Here is a 21,847-nt window from a genome sequence, read left to right as displayed (position 1 = left end):
ATTCCATTGTAAATATATACCACATTCTCTTTATTCGTTTCCTCTTGGACATTTGGGTTGATTCCATATTTTGGCTATTGTGAATAGTGCTGCAATAAACGTAGGGTGAGAATATCTCTTTGACATACTTACTTCTTTTGGATAAATATCCAGTAGTAGGATTAATGAATCATATGGTAGTGCTATTTTTAGTTCTTTAAGGAACCTCCATACTGTTCTCCATAGTGACTGCACTGGTTTACATTCCTACCAACAGCATACAAGAGTTCCCTTTTCTCCACATCTTTCCCAGCATTTGTTATGTATTGCCTTTTTGATAATAGTCATTGTAACTTGGGTGAGATGACAGCTTATTGTGGTTTTCATTTGCATTTACCTGATCATTAGTAATGCTGAACATTTTTTACAAATTTATTGGCCAAAACCATGATCAAGTGGGATTTATTTATCCCAGGAATGCAAGGCTAGTTCATGATATGCAAATCAATAAACATGATACATCACCATCAACAGAATAAAAGCCAAAAACCACGTAATAATTTCAATAGATGCAGAAACAGCATTTACTAAAATTCAATATTCTTTCATGATAAAATCACTCGACAAGTTAGGCAAAGAAGGAAAGTACCTCAACACAATAAAGGCTATCTGTGGTAAACCCACAGGTAACATCATACTGAATGAGGAAACCAGAAAGCAAGAAGGAACATCCAAATAGGGAAAGAGGAAGTTAAATTATCTGTGTAGACCATGTGATCTTATATATAGAAAAACCTAAAAACCCTAAGAAAAACCTTTGGGAACTGATAAATACATTTGATCAAGTTGCAAATACAAAATCAACATACAAGAATCAACAGTGTTTCTATACACAAATAACAAAGTAGCTGAATAAGTAACCCCATTAGTATAGATACAAAAAAAAAATAAAATGCCTTGGAATAAATTTAATGATGGAGGTAAAAGGTCCCTCCAAAAAAAAAATAGTATAACAAACTGATGAAAGAAATCAAAGAAGACACACAAAAAAATGAAGAGAAATCTCATATTCATGAACTGGAAGAATTAATATTGCTAAAATGTTCATACTATGCAAAGCAATCTACAAATTCAATGCAATTTCTATCAAAATACAAATGATATTCTATACAAAAATAGAAAAAAATTAACGTTTGTATGGAACCACAAAAGATCATTAATAGTGAAAAATAATACTGAGCAAAAAGAACAAGACTGAAAGTATGAGACTACTAGATTTCAAAATATACTACAAGATTATAGTAAACAAAACAGCATACTACTGGCATAAAAACAAACACATAGACCAATGGAACAGAAAAGAGAAGCCAGAAATAAATCCACGTTTGTAGCCAACTGATTTTTGACAAAGGTGCCAAGAACTTTCACGGGGGAAAGTACAGTCTCTTTAAAAAACAGTTCGGGGAAAATTGGATATCCAAATGAAGAAGAGTGAAACTACACCCTTTACCAAATGTATTGAAGCACTAAATAGACTGAAGCTCAAAATGGATTGAAGACCTCAATGTAAGACTTGAAACTATAAAACTACTAGAAGAAAACATAGGGGAAATGCTTCAGGAAACTGATCTGTGAAAAAGATGTGATGACTAAGACCTCAAAAGCACAGACAATAAAAGCAGAAACAAACAAATGGGGTTAATGTAAACTAATAAGCTTGTACATGGCAAAGGAAACAAGAGTAAAAAGACAACTACAGAATGGGAAAAAATATGGGCAAACTATTCATCTGACAGGGAATTAATACCCAGAATATGTAAGGAACACAAACATCTCAGTAGCAAAAAAGCCAATCATCTACTTGTAATATGGGCAAATGATCTGAATAGCAAGTCTAGGGTTTTTTTCCTTTTTTTTTTTTTTTTTTAAGAATTGACATTGATGAAGTGCTTCAAGTTCTTTTTAAATTTTTGTTCAGTCTTTTATCACATATTGTCATTTACACATATTGTCAATTTCAGTGAGATATACTAATGGGCAATATACTTAATAGGAATTACATTAGTAAATAAAATGCACTCTTTTTCCTTAAAGAGCTCTCAAAATATTAGGGAAGACACACCTTCTAAGGACATAAGTGCATGCCAACTTTATGTTCTAAATAGTCATATTGACCAGTCAGCCAAACGTGTGTGAGTGGATTGATTGTATATTCTGACAGAGATGTGGAAAATACTGCCTTGAGTTTTTCCATCTTACCTTTTGGTTGGCCCTTACATTGAATATTCTGATAGATTGTAGAAAAAAGCATGGCCTTAAAAACATTTGCTTCTCTAGCTGAAGACACAAGCAAAGTGTCAATGCAGATAGAATAAATTTCTCATATTTGACTTATAGCAAAAAAGGGAAAACAAGTTGAATGCATATGTATATTAGGGTAGATGTAATCCTTCCAGATAGAAAGAAGGTACTTATGTAGTTTGCTATCCAGCTTCTTCACTTGTAACAGGCTTTTCCATTTTTTATTCCAGGCAGTGATTGTACATAGACATGAGCTGCCCGACAAAATAAACAAAACAGAGCCAATGTTTTCGACTGCAAATAACTCCAGCTCCTGGCAAAGTATGCCCAGATCAAAAATCAATGCTGAGAGATGGACTCCACAAAAACAAATTAACTGCACTAGTGACTTGGACTTGTTCAGTAAACTTTTGCTCTGCTATTGCTTAACCCTTATTGTGTCAGGAATCCAATCAAGGAATACATTACATATTAGGCAATTATTTTTTAAGTTATACTTTAAGTTATGGGATACATGTGCAAAACTTGCAGGTTTGTTACATAGCTATACACGTATCATGGTGGTTTGCTGCACCTATCAACCCGTCATTTACATTAGGTATTTCTCCTAATGCTCTCGCTCCCCTAGCCCCCCACCCCGACAGGCCCAAGTGTGCAATGTTCCCCTCCCTGTGGCGATGTGTTCTCATTGTTCAACTACCACTTATGAGTGAGATCATGTGGTGTTTGGTTTTCTGTTCCTGTGTTAGTTTCCTGAGAATGATGGTTTCCAGCTTCATCCATGTCACTGCAAAGGACATGAACTCATCCTTTTTTATGGCTGCATAGTATTCCATGGTGTATATTACCACATTTTCTTAATCCAGTCTATCATTAATGGACATTTGGGTTGGTTCCAAGTGTTTGTTACTGTGAACAGTGCTCCAATAAACATACGTGTACATATGTCTTTATAGTAGAATGATTAGTTCAACTACTGTGGAAGACAGTGTGGCGATTCCTCAAGGATCTAGAATCAGGAATACCATCTGACCCAGCAATCCCATTACTGGGTACTGGGTATATACATTAGGCAATTATTTTATTGACAAACATATACATCCTCAGAGTAGTTTAAGTCTCAGAAATTCATAGGCTTTTTCTCAATCTTTTTTTTTTTTTTTTTTTTTTTTTGTTGAGATGGAGCCTCGCTCTGTTGCCCAGGCTGGAGTGCAGTGGTGCAATCTTGGCTCACTCTAACCTCTGCCTCCCTGGTTCAAGCAATTCTCCAGCTTCAGCCTCCCGAGCAGCTGGGACTACAGGAACCCAGCATCACGCCTGGCTTTTTTTTTTAAAGTAGAGACGGAGTTTCACCATATTGGCCAGGCTGGTCTCAACTCCTGACCTTGTGATTCACCTGCCTCAGCCTCCCAAAGTGCTGGGATTACAGGCATAAGCCACCACGCCTGACCTCAAAATTTTTTTTTTCATATCTTTTTGTTTGTTTCTTAATGTTAAAGTTTGGAAACAGTTTCTGGAAGGTATTTAAAATACGAAGTGCAATTTTACATATAAGAATCTAAAGCTGTATTTATTGTTAAAAGAAAATGTCTTTTAAAAGGAATCCTGTTGTATAGTTCCTTTAGTGTTTATTCTTTGAGTATCAGAATAAAAACAACATATTAGAACAAAAATCTACTAGGCTAAATGTTCAAATATATCAATAACTTGTAGTGCTTTGCTCAGTTGCTTAATTAGTAAATATTTAATATAATTTGCCAAAATAAATTTAGTTGAATTGACCAACAAGCAAAACATGTTTTAAATGGCCAATTTTGACTGATTTCTTGCGCTTATATTTACAACATATTTTTAAGGATTTTTTTACAATATTGATGGGAATCTGTGAAAAAATTTTAAACGTCAGAATTCTAATGGTGAGAACATCGTTTTGCCCATTTGAAATCCTATAGATAGGAAGAATTAATTATTTGACTTGAGATTCATTTCTAAATTATTAGTTATGAAGTGATATAGAGCTAAATATGGTTCTACTGTTTGCTTCCTCAATTCTTCCACATTTCAAGGACAGTACAATCCAAAGGCAACATTAAAAAAGAAACTAAGACCTTGCCAATTGTGAGGTAGCAGTTTTCCTTCTTCACATATGTGTTCAAAGTGCTCAACTGGAACTCAAAGCAAAACGAGCAAAGGAAAAAGACGTAATAGGAGGAGTTTCTGATTTGACTCCTCTCCAAGACATGGGTCAAATTTCCTCTTTCTACGCTAGAGACAGTCTTTTTTGGAAATGATATTTACAAGTTCAGTGGGCATATGGGCATATGTTTAGAGGCTAACACATGAAGGTGTAAGTAGCTTTATATGTGAAGCTTTATGTTTTTGTATATAGAAATTCTTACATATTTAATTCAAAATATTTTAAGGGTAAAATTATCATGTGTGCATATAGAATATGGGCTTTGCATGGGACATGTATTTCTGGCATACTGAAAAAATTGTTTATATTTTTAAATTACTGAAATTTGTTAAAGCCACATATATTGTTTCAAAAAGTTAATATAGTTCTTTTACATTTTTAATTAAAATTATTTTGAAATATAAGAATTTAAACATAGGAAACATTATTTCATTTTTTTCTAAATATATGTTACTGGAGAAACTCAATTCCATTCCATTAGAAGGACCATAGGGTTCCCATCTATGTAGGGTTTGTGTGGCTCACAGTCAGAAAGTATACCAGCTGTGCTTAGAATATATGTGGAATAACAGTAAGAGCCCAGCCAGTGGTAGCTATTATTATAATTATTGTTAATATTAACAACATTAATATGTCTTGGCAATCTCTATTCCTTGTTTTATGCATTGCAATTTATTGTTCTAAATAATATATGTACATTCACTCATATAATACTCAACAAACCTATGAGATAAGTATAGTTATCATCCTTATTTATAGATATAAAAATTGAAATACCAAGTAGTAGAAGAGTTTCCAGAATAATACATTGCTGGAATTACAAATGCTCGAAACAGAATGTATAATGTCTGAGGTAATACAGCTACATATCCATTCTCTTAATCACAAGGTATTGCCTCATTATGTATCTATATTCAGATTACCTCTGTGCATGTGTATTATATAAAGAATCAAATATTCGTATACACCTACATTTTTACAGAGACATACCAACACCTACACACACATATTCAAGACTTTTCTAGTTCCCCATTATTGAGATTTTGCACATCCTTGTTTTGGTTGCATAAAATACTCCCATAGGAGTATTTCTAAGTTTTGTATGAGATAATCCATTTTTAAAACCTTATATATCCAAAGGAAATAAAATCAGTGTTCCACAGAGATATCTGTATTCCTGTGTTATTGCTGTACTATTCACAATAGCCAATAGGTTGATACAGAATAGACCTAAATATATATCAATCAGGTAAATGGGTGAAAAAACATGGTATACATACACAATGGAATACGATTTAGCCATGAAAAAGAATAAAACCTGTCATTTGCAACAACATGGATGAACCTAGAGGACATTATGGTAAGTGAAATAAGTCAAGCACAGGGCTAATACCTCATACTGTCATTCATAAGTGGAATCTAGAAAGTTGATCTCACAGAGGCAGAGTAGAGCAGTGGTTACCAGAGGCTGAGAGGGTAGAGGGGAGAAGAGGATGGAGAAAGGTTGGTCAATGTGTACAAAGTTATAGTTAGACAGGAGGAATAAGTTTTGGTGTTCTGTACAGTAGCGTGACTACAGTTAAAAATAAAGCATATTTCAAAATAGCTAGCAGACTTTGAAAGTTCTTACCAAAAGAAATGCCAAGTATTTGAGGTGACAGATATGCTAATTACCTGAATTGTTCATTACACGATGTATAAATGTATCAAAACATCACACTGTACCCTGTAAATATGTACAATTACTATGTGTCAACTAATGACAAAATACAAAGTAAACAATGAAAAAGATCAATAAAAAAAGCTTAATTCAGCATTTCGCACATATGGAGTGTTTATAAGAAAATTTCTATTACAAATGACAGAGATCCAACTTGAAAGATATTAAGAATTAAAAATTTCAAAAACAGGGAGGTTTTTTACTTCATAAAACCAAATGACAGAATACCACTGTAGAATCAGTGACAATCAAACAAGAAACCTGGATATTCTCAGGACTCTCAATTTCTCTCTGAATCTTGTTTTTCTGTATTCATGCCATTTTCTCCTATTACATAACACATCAAATGGAATTTTTCAGCACAGCAGGGAACATGACCAGAGGCTACTCAAGACTGGCACTCTTTCATTCTCTTAAGTAGAATGAAATCTTCCCTATCAGCTACACTTAGAAAAATCCCAGAAAAGGATGCTTGAAGATCTAATGTGGGTTTCATCTCAATCTTTGGCCCAATTATCATATCCAAAGGGAGGAGGTCACATGCTTCCCTGCTTTTAGGGGAGCTAGGGTACAGTCCTGGCAACCCTCAACTGAACCAAAGAGGTGGGATGAGGAAGAAGTAACGCTCTCAAATACTGGAAGTTATGGCAAACAAATAATGTTAGCTATTGTTGCTATTATGTATTTAATAGCAGGATTGAGCAGGGTTGGAAAAGTTGGGAGATAGGCAAAGGGAGGGAAGCTAAGCTGACCATGAGATCAGATCTGCCCAGGTTTAAGTTGAGGTTTGGTTCCACCTCTCCTGCTTAAATATTAATGGAATACTATGGATCCTGTGATGGCTGGGACTTTGACAATAATGGCACTGACTCCAGAAATCCCCATTAGCCGACATCTCTTTCATAGGCCAGATTCCAGATAATGATGTAGGAATTTCCGGTTCACTACACATTTCTACTTCCTAAGATGGGGTGGCTTGCCATTTCTCCACCCGTGAACTTCCAGGACATGCCCTCCTACGTCTCCTCCTTTAAATCCCTCTGTCTTCAGTCCCATACAGAGGTGAGAACTTCTACCTGTTCCCTTTGAGAACCAGGCCGGGAGGAGGATTGGAACCAATTCACAGTTTAGTAACTAGAATTGAGGTATTATAAACTTTTCCAGGTTGCTTTTCCTATTGTTTCATTATTATTATCAAAGTTGATCCTCACTGTTCAGGTAGTTCTTGGCCCTTTTGTTCCACTCAGTATTTCTTCTGATAATTCAGTGTGCAGACTTTGTCTGCATCTCCTTTTAAGAAATCCCAATAGCTGGATTATTTCAAGTGTAATGGCTACACCTGATAGTTTAAATCTCAATTTGTTGGAAAAAGATTATCCGATCAAGCTCTTCACAGCCATCTGTTTCTCCCAACTTTGCCCCCTCCCAATTTTTAACCTCCTTAAGTGTACTTACTTCAAATCTTAACTCATTACATTTCATGTCTCCTCCAATAATTAAGTTACAAAAGTATGTTTAAGCATCAACTGATGGTCATCAGTGAGATGTTAGTCTGACTAGGCAAACAATTACAGGAACATCAAGGTAGGTATGAAAAAGAGACCAAATCTTTGAGAACAAGAGTTGTGTTTTTACAGAAATAGCTGACACTGCATCTTAAAAATACATTCATGCATTGCTTAACAAGGGGGATACATTCTGAGAAATGTGCTGTCAGGCAATTTTATTGTGCAAATATCAGAGTATACTTACACAAACCTAGGTAGTACAGCTTACTACATACTTAGACTATAGGTATGGTATAGCCTATTGCTTCTAGGCTAAAGACCTGGACAGCATGTGCATTACTGTGTAGAATACTGTAGGCAATTATAACACAATGGTAATTAAAACATAGAAAAGTACACTAAAAATATAGTATTATAATTGACATGATTTGGCTGTGTCCCCATTCAAATCTCAATTGGAATTTTATCTCCCAGAATTCCCAAGCGTTGAGGAAGGGACCCAGCAGGAGGTAATTGAATCATGGGGGCTGGTCTTTCCCTTGCTATTCTCATGGTAGTGAATAAGTCACATGAGATCTGATGGGTTTATCAGGGGTTTCCGCTTTTGCTTCTTCCTCATTTTCTCTTTTGCCTCCCACCATAATTCAGAGGCCTTGCCAGGCATATGGAACTATAAGTCCAATTAAATTTTTGTTTCCCAGTTTTGTATATGAATTTATCAGCAGGGTGAAAACAAACTAATACAGTGTATCGGTACCAGTAGAGAGGGGCCTTGCTGAAAAGATACCCAAAAACATGGAAGCAATTTTGGAAATGGGTGACAGGCAGAACTGGGAACAGTTTGGAGGGCTCAGAAGACAGGAAAATGTGGGAGAGTTTGGAACTTCTTAGAGACTTGTTGAGTGGCTTTGTCCAAAATGCTGATAGTAATATGAACAATAAAATCGAGGCTGAGGTGGTCTCAGATGGAGATGAGAAACTTCCTGGGAGCTGAAGCAGAGGTGAATCTTGGTAACATTTTAGCAAAGAGACTGGCGGCATTTTGTCCCTGCCCTAGAGATTTGTGGAACTTTGAACTTGAGAGAGATGATTTAGGGTATCTGGCAGAAGAAATTTCTAAGCAACAAAGCATTCAAAAGCTGACTTGGGACTGACGTGGTGGCTCACACCGGTAATCCCAGCACTTTGGGAGGCTGAGGTGGGTGGATCACCTGAGGTCTGGTGTTTCAGACCAGCCTGACCAACATGGTGAAACCTCATCTCCACTAAATACAAAAAATTAGCTGGGCGTAGTGGCTCATGCCTGTAATCTCAGCTACTTGGGAGGCTGAGGCAGGGGAATCGCTTGAACCCAGGAGGCAGAGGCCTCAGTGAGCCGAGATTGCACCATTGCACTCCAGCCTGGGAAGCAAGATAAAACTCCGTCTCAAAAAAAAAAAAAAAAAAAAAAACATAAAGGTGACTTGGGTGCTGTTAAATACATTGTTTTATAAGGGAAGCAGAGCATACAAGTTTGGAAAATTTGCAGCCTGACTATGCAATAGAAAATAAAAACCCATTTTCTGGGAAGAAATTTAAGCTGGCTGCAAAAATTTGCATAAGTACCAAGCAGCCTAATGTTCATCCTCAAGACTATGGGGAAAATATCTCCAGGCCATGTCAGAGAGCTTCACGGCCATTCCTCACACCACAGGCCCAGAGGCCCAGGAGGAAAAAGTGGTTTCATGGGCCAGGCCCAGGGTCTCTGTGTTGTGTGCAGCCAAGGGACTTGGTGCTCTGTGTCCCAGCCACTCCAGGTGTGGCTGAAAAGGCCAATGTACAGCTCAGGCTGTGGCTTCAGAGGGTGGAAGCCCCAAGCCTTGGCAGTGTCCACGTGGTCTTGAGCCTGAAGGTACACAGAAGTCAAGAATTGAGGTTTGGGAACCTTTGCCTAGATTTCAGAAGATATATGGAAACTCTTGGATGCACAGGCAAAAGTTTGCTGCAGGGACAGGGACCTCACGAGAATCTCTTCTAGGGCAGTACAGATGGAAATGTGGGGTTGGAGCCCCTTCACAAAGTCCCTACTGGGGCACTGCCTAGTAGAGTTGTGAGAAGAGGGCCACCATCTTCCAGACCCCAGAACAGTAGATCCACTGATGGCTTGCACCATGCACCTGGAAAAGCCACAGACACTCAAACGCAGCCCGTGAAAGCAGCTGGGAGGGAGGCTGTACCCTGGAAAGCCACAGGGCCAAGATCATGGGAACCCATCTCTTACATCAGTGTAACCTGGGTATGAGATATGGAGTCAAAGGAGATCATTTTGGAGCTTTAAAATTGGACTGCCCTGCTGGATTTTGGACTTGCATGGACCCTGAAAACCCCTTTGTTTTAGCCGATTTCTCCCGTTGGGAATGGTTATATTTACCCAATTGCCTGTACCACCATTGTATCTAGGAAGTAACTAGTTTGCTTTTGATTTTACAGGCTCATAGGCAGAAGAGTTAAGATGAGACTTGACTCAGATGAGACTTTGGACTTTGGACTTTTGGGTTAATGCCCAAATGAGTCGAGAGTTTGGGGGACTGTTGAGAAGGCATGACTGGTTTTGAAACGCAAGGACATGAGGTTTGGAGGGGTCAGGGCAGAATGATATGGTTTGGCTGTGTCCCCATTCAAATCTCAACTTGAATTTTATCTCCCAGAATTCCCACATGTTGTGGAAGGGACCCAGTGGGAGGTCAAATGAATCATGGGGGCTGGTCTTTCCCGTGCTAGTCTCATGATAGTAAGTCTCATGAGATTCAGTGGGTTTATTAGGGATTTCTGCTTTTGCTTCCTCATTTTCTCTTGCCACCACCATGTACAAAGAACCTTTCACCTCCCGCCAAGATTCTGAGGCCTCACAAGGTACGTGGAACTGTAAGTCCAATTAAACCTTTGTTTGTTTCTCAGTTTCAGGTATGTCTTTATCAGCAGTGTAAAAACAAATACAATAATCTTAAGGGACCACTGTTACATATGTGGTCCACCATTGACTGAAACATCATTATGAGATGCATGACTATAAACCAAAAATAAAAACAACCTACAAGAGCCCTCTTAACACTTAACATGAAGGCTAGGCTAAAGAGAGGAAATGCTGAAAGGCTGGCTCAGAGACACAGGAGGATTAAAACCAGAGCTATGAATATAAAATGGAGTCTTTTGAATATGTATAAAATAATATGTAGATAATATTATATATAAGTAATAAGTAGAGACAAATAGGAAATGTAAAGGCAAGACTGATATAATAGTTAATTTTAAAGTAAAATAAATAGTTATATATTTTTGAGCACCTTTTCTATTTTTGACATTATGTGAATATACTCAAAAAACGTGAGAAGTTTAAAAACAAACTAAAAAGAATATGAGAAATGCCCATTTCCTACTACTTAAAAAAATACTGATTTTTAAAATTATTTTTCAGTAACCCCTATATGTAACTTTATTTTTTAGTAATTGGCACAGTCTTCATCAACCACCTGAAATTCTCCAAGATGAGCTGGATGTGAGTTCTCCCAATTCACCCTCTATGTATACATGTACATGATTGCCATGTGATGTGTTTGCTTATGTTTATTCAATTTATACAAGTATTATGCTATATACAACGCTAATTTTTTTCCTTTGATATCATGACATTGTGATTCATCCATGTTGATCTGTGTACATCTACTTTATTCATTTATATGCTATAAGGTATTCTATATGGCTATATATTATTTATGAGGCTTAGCATACTTTACTCATAGCTAATGGTTTAAGTTGTTTCTAAAATTTTGCTACTATAAACTGTCTCAGAATTTGGACAGGGTAAGGTAGAAAACAATTACATTTTAATGATTATTATCATTAAATAATAGGACACTTTGCCAAAGAGATACTAGAATATAGGAAACCATCAAAGTGACAGTGCCTATTCTGCAATACAGAGTCATTTACTTTTTTTTTTTTTTTTTTTTTTTTTTTTTTTGAGACAAAGTTAGCTCTGTCACCAGGCTGGAGTGCAGTGGCATGATCTTCGCTCACTGCAACCTCTGCCTCCTGGGCTCAAGTGATTCTCCTGCCTCAGCCTCCCCAATAGCTGGGATTACAGGCATGTGCCGCCATGCCCAGCTAATTTTTGTATTTTTAGTAGAGACGGGTTTCACCATGTTGGCCAGGATCGTCCTGATCTCCTGATCTCGTCCATCCCCCCACCTTGGCCTCCCAAAGTGCTGAGATTACAGGTATGAGCCACCGCGCCCAGCTGAGTCATTTACTTTTTAACCTAACAGGTTACTATGCTGGAAAATACAGCTACATGAAGAGTTGCCTGATCAAGTTTTGGCCTTTAGTAGAAGAACACAGGCAACTAACAGTGACTTGGTCTGGAGGACACCAGGGAACTAATATTCTAATCCTACATTTCTTTTGCCCTTCAATCTTCTACTCCTGTCACTGATAGCATCAACCCAAATAAAACCTGGAGGAAAAGGAAAAGAAAGGTCATTGGTACAGGACAAAGACCCAGCCTCCTAGAACACTGATAGGCCAGAACAGAAAAGGGTGGAAAGTGGATCTGAAGAGCAAATTGCAAACAACAACAACAAAAAAAAAGAAAAAAAAAAAGAACTCATTTGATTAACAACTTTCCTCTATGCTCATGTCAAACTATGTCTAAATATCTTGGCATATATTAGGGAAGATGCTTTTTCACTTTCATTGGGTAATTATTTGGCTAGGCCACCCAATCTCCCCCATATAACTATAGTACTGAAAATGTAAAAATAGTTAAAGATAAAAGTAGAATTCCCATTCTTTTTTGTTCTTAGATGATTTATGAAGTGTCCATTGGTATATGCATATGGGTATCTATTTTCCTAGGTCAGGAATTTACAGAACATTAAAAAAAAATGCTTTCCTAGTTATATAGTTTTCTACTTCAGTCCTTTTTTAAGAATGAAGCATATTCAAGAGACTAAAAATAAATTTTAATTAAATTTTATCCATGTAAAAAGGCTTCTAATTCTTTTTTCAAATTCATTTTCCATTGCAAATAGTCAAAGAAAGCAGACAAAAGCTTTTTCTTGCTTCAGAGTACTGGTTTAGTGCACCACTTGGGAAATTTTTTCCTGGGTTTTATACTTTTATAAATAAAGTGACTGTAATAAACTGAAAGCTGTGAACCCCCAAATGCCAGCTTGAAAATAGTAACAAAACTGACATGAACATACAAATACATAAACATAATTTATTTACCTACCATGAGCTTGTCATTTTCCCTAGGGATGCTGTCATTTAAAGGACATTTCTCCCTCTCCTCTTTGTTTTCACACCTATACACATAGCTGATAAATATATTTGTAAAAATAAAAATGCCACCACATCCCTGGGATTCAAATTCCCTGCAGAGGTTACTACTCAGAACACAAAAACCTTCCTCGACTCAGGAATTGGCAAGCAGAAAGGTAGGGAGTAGAGCAGTCATATGTAGTAGGCTCAATTTGTTTTATTACTTCTGCTAGGATTTCCAATTTTATCATCTACCATTTGCTAAGCTCCTGCTCTACGCTGTCCAGGCTGTTTAAAAATATGTAATCTCTAATTTTAAAGGAACTGTGAAATTTTGTTAACATTTTCCTCATCTTAAAGAAACTGGGCCTCAAAGAATTTAACTGACTCGCATAAGCAAAAAATAGCTAAACTGAGATTTCCATGAGGGTGTGCTGATCTCCCAAGTTTGCAATTGCTGATTTTCATGCTTTTGATTCAGAACACTCTGTAATTTTCACATTTATATATCAACATAAGTAACCTACATGTTGAAGATTTTGTTTGAAAAATACTGAAAATTAAAAAGGAGAAAAGCAATTATAGCAAGTGAAAAGTAAAAGACTTCTCTTTCTAGTCAAACCCACACCATTTCCACTTCTGTCCAGGAATAAACATTAATGGTGTGAGAAGCATTCCTTCTTTATTCCCCACAAATGTATACAGATATTAGTATATATTTTGTCTTCTATTTATCTATTTCCTATTTTCATTGCAATGAGCAAACCTTACGTTAATTACACCGGTGAGAGTTCCATATCTGTCTCTTGCTAGACAATAGGGTGGAACAAACAGGTGCTATGGGTGGAGGGACATTGATGACACGGGTCACCTTTCACCAGGAGAGCTGTCATCTTGCCTACTTCTGTTCCAATCCATCTCCGTTCTTGCCCAATACTGACTGTGGAAAGTACAAAGTGGAGTGACAGAGAAGAGACTGGGCAGAGTTCCTAATCCTTAGGAATACATTCACAAATGTAAGGTGTTTGACAGAGGGAGGGTGCTTTCAGATGCTTATCTGAGGAGTAGTGTATAGATTAGACTAAGAGAGACTAACAGGAACATTAGCATAGTCTAATTCAACCATATTTCCATTTAAATAGACAGAATCAAGTACTAAGTATCAGGGCCAAGATTAAAATACAAGTAAATATTTTAGTATATCTTATTCATAGAAACAACCTTCAGACACCGTTCGTGCCCACTGCAGTCAGTCTTCCCTCTCTACCTTTCCCCCGAAATTTTGCCAGCAATAATCAAACACCTTCAGAATTTCTAAATCCAATAAAGCCTGTCCACTTTCATCTAATTTGACTTGTTAGTAATATGTGCACTGGTGAACACTGTATTTCCTTAAATCTCCCTCATCCCTTGACTTTCATCACTGTTCCCTCTTCTTCTCTGGTTATTTTATCCCATTTAAAGTTGTACACATTTATCTTTAAATACCCATGAAGTGTAGACGTTAATCAGGTTTTGAATTTAGCCCTTACAACTTTTTCTTCAACCATGCAAACTACTTTCTAACACTATTTTCTTGCTTTTAATCTCCCAAGTCCACTTCCAATACATCCTGCATATTACTGCCTAACTTTTCTAAACACAAACCCGAGGATCTCTTCCTTACTTAACACTCTTTATTGCTTTGGAATGAGACAAAGTGTATGCTAACCTCTCAAGCAGTATTAAACTTTTGCTGTATCTGGACCTCACGTTTCTCTTCGACCTGATCTGCAGCCCGCTGGCACACGTGTCCTGTACTCTCTCCTGAAATTCTTGTCTCCCATGTGGGTCATGCTCCTTCCAGGCCTATGTGCATTTTAGATGCTTCTTGCCTAGCTCACTTTGCCCATGTTTTCTCACAGTATTTCAAAAGCTCTACACATCTTATGTGAAACCTTAAACAAACAAACAAACATAAACCCTAATATTGCTGCACTTTTCCTGATCAGGAGAAAGCAATGGGCTTTTCTTTTGTGGCTTTATAGCACCGAGGGTATATCTCTATTAAATGGTTTACTTTTCTGGGTGTTTTACTGTTGTTGTTTTGTCTTATGCCACCTTTCAGTATGAAGTACCTGGTAGATGATCTTGCTTGTAGAAGCTGCTTGATAAATATTTATTTTGTCTTATGTCACCTTTCAGTATGAAGTACCTGGTAGATGATCTTGCTTGTAGAAGCTGCTTGATAAATATGTATCGCAATATCCAATGATACTGGGCAAATTTTTCTGACTAATATTCAGTAGAGCCTTGCTCTTTATTAGACATGTGAGAAATGTCTCCTTTTTAGATCTGAAAATTAGCAGAAATATTTCTATTGTACAGTATTTCTAAATATGCCATTACTATACAATGCAGGCATAGCAGGAGCAAGGCCTGTATGCGTCAGTTTAAAAATAGGACACTTTGTGCTCATCAGATATGACAAATTGACAATTCTAGGAATAGAAGTCTATTCTTGTCAGGTTTATTATGCAATAAAAAATGGCCACTGAGAAACTGAAAGTTCTTTCCTCTTTTTAAGAATTCTGTAGCCACTTACTTGGAGGAGAGTTATTTCTGGAGGTTTCAAATGGGAGCTGATTCCCCATTTCACCATGACCTGACTCATACTTTTACAGTCCTTCATGCCTAAAAATTGTGAACTAACTTAGGGAGAGGGTGTATCTTTTTAGCATGCAAACAGTTACATTTCCGTTCAGATAATGAATAAATCCATTATTTTGCAGTATTTTGTCTCAGAACTCAAAGATGACTATTTTTGTAACCCCCCCAAGAAGATACCTTAAGTAATTAAGGACATTTGGATGGTTTCAACAAAACTCTTCTGAATATATGGAAACTGAATAATTTACCCCAAAAACTTTTCAAATCTGAAAATCTAATGCCAATCAATGCAAAACAACATCTCAGACTTTTCTCTATACATAATGGGAACATTAAAAATTACTGGATCTATACCATTTAGATCTAGACTCTACTGATTCAGTGGTTAATAACACTGTTAAATATATGTGGGAAACTAATTTTTAAATATTCTCTACTTTCAATTTTGTGAAGTTGAAAGCCATGAGTTCAGGCCACAAGCCTGCAGTATTAGAGTAAAAATCAATTTGGGGTACAAGTAAAGAAAGAAAAGGATTTCAAGAGTAGAGGACTCCCTAGTAAGACACAACCCTTAGATTTCTGTCTGTGTAATCCTGGGCCTTTGGAGTCATTCAAAATCATCCTCACCTTGGCTGACTGTTCCAACCCCTGTACTTTAGCTGTGAAATGGGAAAAATGACATGTTTACCCTAAGCATAATCACAGAACTCTAGTTGCAGTTCAGTTGAGAAAAGCTATAAAGATACTTGCATTATTACAAATTTAATGATAATTACTATGAACATTTACAGTATATAATTTTATTTCAATTAACATATTTAGCTACATTAGATTACATGTACATATTTGTACATTATTACATTTTAGCACTAAATTGTAAGACAATTTTAAGATGGTTTGTATAATCAGACAAATCTTAGTTTGTATTTCAGATACAGTATCCCCACTTATTCGCAGGGTATACCTTCCAAGTCCCCCAGGGGATACCTGAAACCATGGATGCACCAAACCTTCTATATTACTATGTTTCTTCCTATACATATGTTCTTCCTATGATAAAGTTTAATTTATAAGTTAGGTACAGTAAGAAGTCAACAATAACTGACAATAAAACTAGAACAATTATAACAAGATACTGTAATAAAAGTTACACGAATGTGGTCTGTCTCTCAAAATACCTACTTGTATTGTATTCACCTATTTTCAGACCACAAGTAACCACAGGTAACTACAACCACAGAAAGCAAAACTGCTGATAAGGGGAGACTACTAGATTCCAGTTACTTGCTGTTATCTTATACAAATCATTTAACTTCTCTGAACCTCAGTTTGTATGTGTGTGTCTTTGTGTGTGTTTTCCCAATGAGTGTGACAATACCAATTAGTCAGCTTTATTTTAACAAAGTAAAAAAAAAAGTATTTGAAATGACTGACATGATATTACTAAAAACTTACTACTGCTTAGCAATGTAACATTTATCACAAAAAAGTAAATACAACTGAATTAAAAGGAAATAAATAGAATACAATAAACTTTAGTCTATAATAAACAGTTTGGTTTAACTACAATTTTCAGCATTATAATTATTTTCAATAATGTTTTTATAATTAAACATTTATATTATTATTGATTTCGTTCTTTACTAATTCAAGCAGTTTGTTAAGTACCCTGAAAGTGCACTCTGTATTTTACTAATGCTATTACTATACAGGTTGATATTACACTGTACATAAATGGCTCATTATATGGGTCTGAAACACATCAAAGTTATTTAAGGTAAGAGGAATATTTGTATCCATTATCTCTTATTAAAAATCAAATGTTTTAATAATTCTATGTTTCTAGAAATTTAGTACAGTATTAAATCTCAAAATCTTATACTCCATATACATAAAGAATAAACTAACACTGTATTTCAATAAACTGAAAAGCACTCAGTGTGATTCTTTGCTTGTTGGTTTGTCATGATTAATTTCATGGAAATAAAACCCAGCAACTCTGCAGGATAAATTAGCAAAAGTATTTTGTGTTTTTAGTCAGGACAAATAACCTAACTCTACCTTTTTATGATGTGAAAAATAAACGCCTTTAGATTTAATAGATGCATTGATGCTGAGGATGAGGGATGAGTTAGGGAAAATAACAGTCCACGGTGCTTTTCAATGTGCATGAACAGGAAGTAATAAAGCTAATTTATCTCCAAAATAGCAAATTGCTTTTTAGCAAATGGTCCACAAGGGTGCAATAAAAGCAACAACACTGAAGAATCTTTGACATGGTAAATAATTAAGAGATTGGTCAAGGACTTGATATAAAGTTTCTACTGTCTAATCCACAAATAACTGAGGCCCAAGGGTATACCCCGGACAGAGAATGTGTTGAAGTAAATTGCGAACTCCAGCACGTAGAATTAATAGTTAAATATTAAAAGCAGACCTGAATTGTGACTAAGAAATAGGAAGATTTTTGTCTTGAGAAATTTGTGTTCTTTATCACATGTGGCCATGTGCCTGGACTGTGTGAAACGGGGGGTGAGGCATGATAGTTGCTATGGGGGTGCGGGGTGGTGAAAGACAGCTAATGTAATCATTTGAGTCACCTATGAATCCATGGTCAGAAAATTAATGTAAACCATGTTCACATGATTAGAAGAAATCAACATAGGAGAGATTAGACTAAAGGAAAGTCTCCTTATAAACCCTGCCACCCTGATGTCCTGAAAATTGCTCTCCAGAGGCAATTACTGTTAACTTTTTAAATGATCTTTCCAACCATATTATGTGTATATACATATATATATATATATATATATGTATATACACACACACATCCATAAGCAAAGTACATTTTGAAATTTGTCTTAAAACCAAATATTTTTGCAATTATTATTTTTAATCAGTACAAATCCATCTTTATTTTTAATGAATTATTTTATCGTAATTTATTTAATTATATACCTACTGATAGGCATTTAAATCACTTGATTTTTTTCAGTCTAGCATGGGAGTTACCAATTGTTTTGTTTTTATATCTCCCACCGTGTAAATCCATGCGTATCATCAATTCACTTCAATTAAATTAAAACTAATTTGGATATATCTATTGGAATGTTTTTATTTAATAATAATCTGAGCATAAATATTTTATATCAAGTATTATTTTTATCAAATATTTTATATCAAGTATTTTTATATTTTATATCAAATATTACCATATTAAAATATAATACAAATCAGTCTCCACTCTAACATTTATTTGACTGTAATTATATATACAAAATGCTAAGAAATGAATTGAGTATCTCATTTTATATTTTTACGGAACCTAGCAATAGGCTCTGTATAATTGTGTCATCAGAATATTTACATAAACATCGAGTAGTAAGAATTAAGGTTTTTTAAAATTATATGTACATCAATTGTTAATTTTTTGATGATGAGAAAAATCTAATAATTTTTATTTTTAATATACTTTCCCCATAAATCCTGTACCCCTGATCATTCCTTTATCTTATCCCCTTAATATGCTAATACTTATTTAACTGTATAGACTAGGAACAAGGATGTTAAGATATTCATAGATAACTGTAGGATAATAAGACCATTTGGGCCATTTCTTAATAGATCCTGAGAAAATGTCTGTTCCAGAAGAGTAAAGACCTCAAACAATGGTTTTTAGAATTTAGAGGAAATTACTTTTTAAACTTTGGGACTCTAGTCCAAATAGAGACAAGAATAAAATCTCACCACCTAGTGAAATATCATTGTTTTAAATTAGTTATTTCTTATCTGAAGTTTCTAAAGCAAAGGAACAATCCAAAATGCCTTAATTCAATCTTTTATATAATAATTTTGTGGCTACAAAATAAATTAAATTATCATCACCATTTTTGCCTCTTACTATGCTAACAGTAATAAGCTTTACATTCTTTTCATTAGTAGGCCTGTAATTTCTGGCATTGACCCAACATATTTATTGTTTTTTCTGTGAGTATTTAGTAAGGCAAATTTCAGGAGCAGTTAATAATTTTAAAAGTTGACTTTTTGTTTGTTTTAGTATTTAATTTGTACTTGTGAATATGTGCTGAGTCTACCAGATTTTTTCCAATAATGCTCTCACAAGCAAGTGCCACTATCTCAATTATCTTAACAGCAAATTATTTATAAATGAACTGGTTATAGCTTTTACATGTTTGAGGTTTGTAAACAACTTTGCTTCTAAAATATAAGGGAAGGCCATTATTTAGATGCAATTCCATTTCCCTGACAAAGTAGGAAAAAAATCAAACAGAAGTAATTGATGCCAGTTTATTTCCCTGTGCCCTTTGTTAGCTCTCTAAATATTTTCTTACCTATAAGATTTATGAGCTGTTATATTCAATGTTGATAAATATTATTTATCTCTTTCTGTGTGTGTGTGTGTGTGTGTGTGTGTGTGTGTGTGTGTGTCATTATTTAGCTTTCTGTTTCTTGGCCAATGGAAGTGTGTGTAGATAGACATAATTCAGATTTTTATACACGTTTTGGTTGAATTAATACCTGTATATAATACACGGTACATTGCAGCCAACTGGGAGACCAGTTTTACAAAGCATTGGAGGTTGATTAAATAATGCAACATGATCTCAGGAATAACAGATGCTTTACTTTAACACTGGCATAATTTCCCAAGTACCAGAAATAAGTGAGGTTATGTTTTCATTAAAGATGTGGTGTTTCAATCTAGAGTTGTCTTTCCTTTTAGGCAGTGTTGTCTCTTAAAAACAGTTAAAGAAAATACAATGCATAGGTAATGAAATTTCTAGATGGGTCAAATGTTTACCCTAAAAATACTACTACTAAGTTTCCTAGTTACATTGTGAGTGATAATGATGATAAATTATAGAATAAATTAGACTTCAATTTGTCTGCAATTTGAACCAAGTTGATGCTGAAATGAATACTCTAATTGCTCCTTTTAAGGCTGCAAGAGACCTTGTGTAACCAACGAATACATTAAGACTTTTGCCTGATTAAATCCAGGGGTTCATTCTACCAAACATGTTCAGTTTAAGTCAAAGTAATCCAACACAAATAAGAATGAAATGCCTACAATTTGTAGCTGAATGTGCTTCCCTGATCTAGTAGCCAAGTTACCCATCTGATACACAATTTTATTTTGGTGAATGGTCAACAAACCTAGGAACAGGGGAATAATCTGCATGATATGGGGAATCCTGAGATAAATAAAACATTTAACCTGTCTGCACAAGACTTGTCAGTGCTCTATTTATATCCTTTCAGATCTTGTCCTTTCAATGCCTGGCTGGCCCAGATATTAAAGACCAACAAGTGCATAAGAGCTTTTTCTGGCCTCCAACTACATTTTTAGGGCAGTGCTTGGTAATTAATGCCACCTGAGCTTATTTTAATACTTGAGTGGGTGTGTAACCAGCTCATTCTCCTTACTCGTATAATAAATTAATTCTGAGACACATATTTCTTCTAAATTCCCCACTGGGGTTATAGTCTACATGATAACCTTGAAGTGTTATTTTTAAATTATTTTCACTTGTAGCAGGAACTGAGGTTTACTATTTTAATGCGGTGTAGTTTTTTCTCACATTAAAAACCATATTTTTCCATTTCGTAACATTAATCATGTTTGGTATTACTCATCAGATAAACCTTCAACTATGGTAAGAATAGTTTTTGTAACAGAAGTTGTATCAGTCAAATTTTCATTAAGAAAAATAAAAGCTACAAGCCACTTTAGGTAGTTCAGTTTGGAAATGTTCAATATGGAGAAACAGAGGCTTTAAAAACTGTTGGAAGGGCTAAGAAAGTAAGGCGAGGGATATAGCTGCTAGAATCTAGTCATTCACATGGTCAGTGACAAATCTTGGCAATCTCATGGAGTGTGGGCACCAACAATTTTCGCTGCCTGCAACACGAACAGCGAGCCTCTCAGGGGACAGGCTTCTATCCACCAATCTTTCTGCAACTAACCTCTCCACTTCTCCCTTCCAAGCCTTGAATGTTTCTTGGCAGATTCTCATCTGAAACTACATGGAGAAAAGGAAACTACGGAAAATTGAACAATGAGGCTGAGCTGACTAAGGATAATATAGCAGAGAAATGGTACTTTAATTTACCATTTTCTTCACCCTCTTGATCATTGTGCAATTATACAGGAATACTTTCTAAAAGAAC

The 21,847-nt window shown here is 35.5% G+C and overlaps 1 protein-coding gene and 1 long non-coding RNA gene across 13 annotated transcripts in view; both read right to left on the bottom strand.

Moving 5' to 3' along the window:
* CNTN5 (contactin 5) overlaps positions 1–21,847 on the bottom strand; it is a 1,337,937-nt gene that overhangs the window by 710,170 nt on the left and 605,920 nt on the right. The window lies entirely within an intron of this gene.
* On the bottom strand, positions 14,454–18,459 carry LOC107984431 (uncharacterized). The gene is made up of 2 exons (XR_001748534.1): positions 15,184–18,459; positions 14,454–15,106 (listed from the first exon to the last, which is right to left on the bottom strand). It is a non-coding gene; the product is annotated as an uncharacterized LOC107984431 (long non-coding RNA).

Source organism: Homo sapiens, chromosome 11 (genome assembly GCF_000001405.40).
Source record: "Homo sapiens chromosome 11, GRCh38.p14 Primary Assembly".
In the NCBI taxonomy this organism is placed as follows: Eukaryota; Metazoa; Chordata; class Mammalia; order Primates; family Hominidae; genus Homo; species Homo sapiens.
The sequence above is the reverse complement of the archived record's forward strand: the minus strand, read 5'-3'. Positions and strand labels throughout refer to the sequence as shown.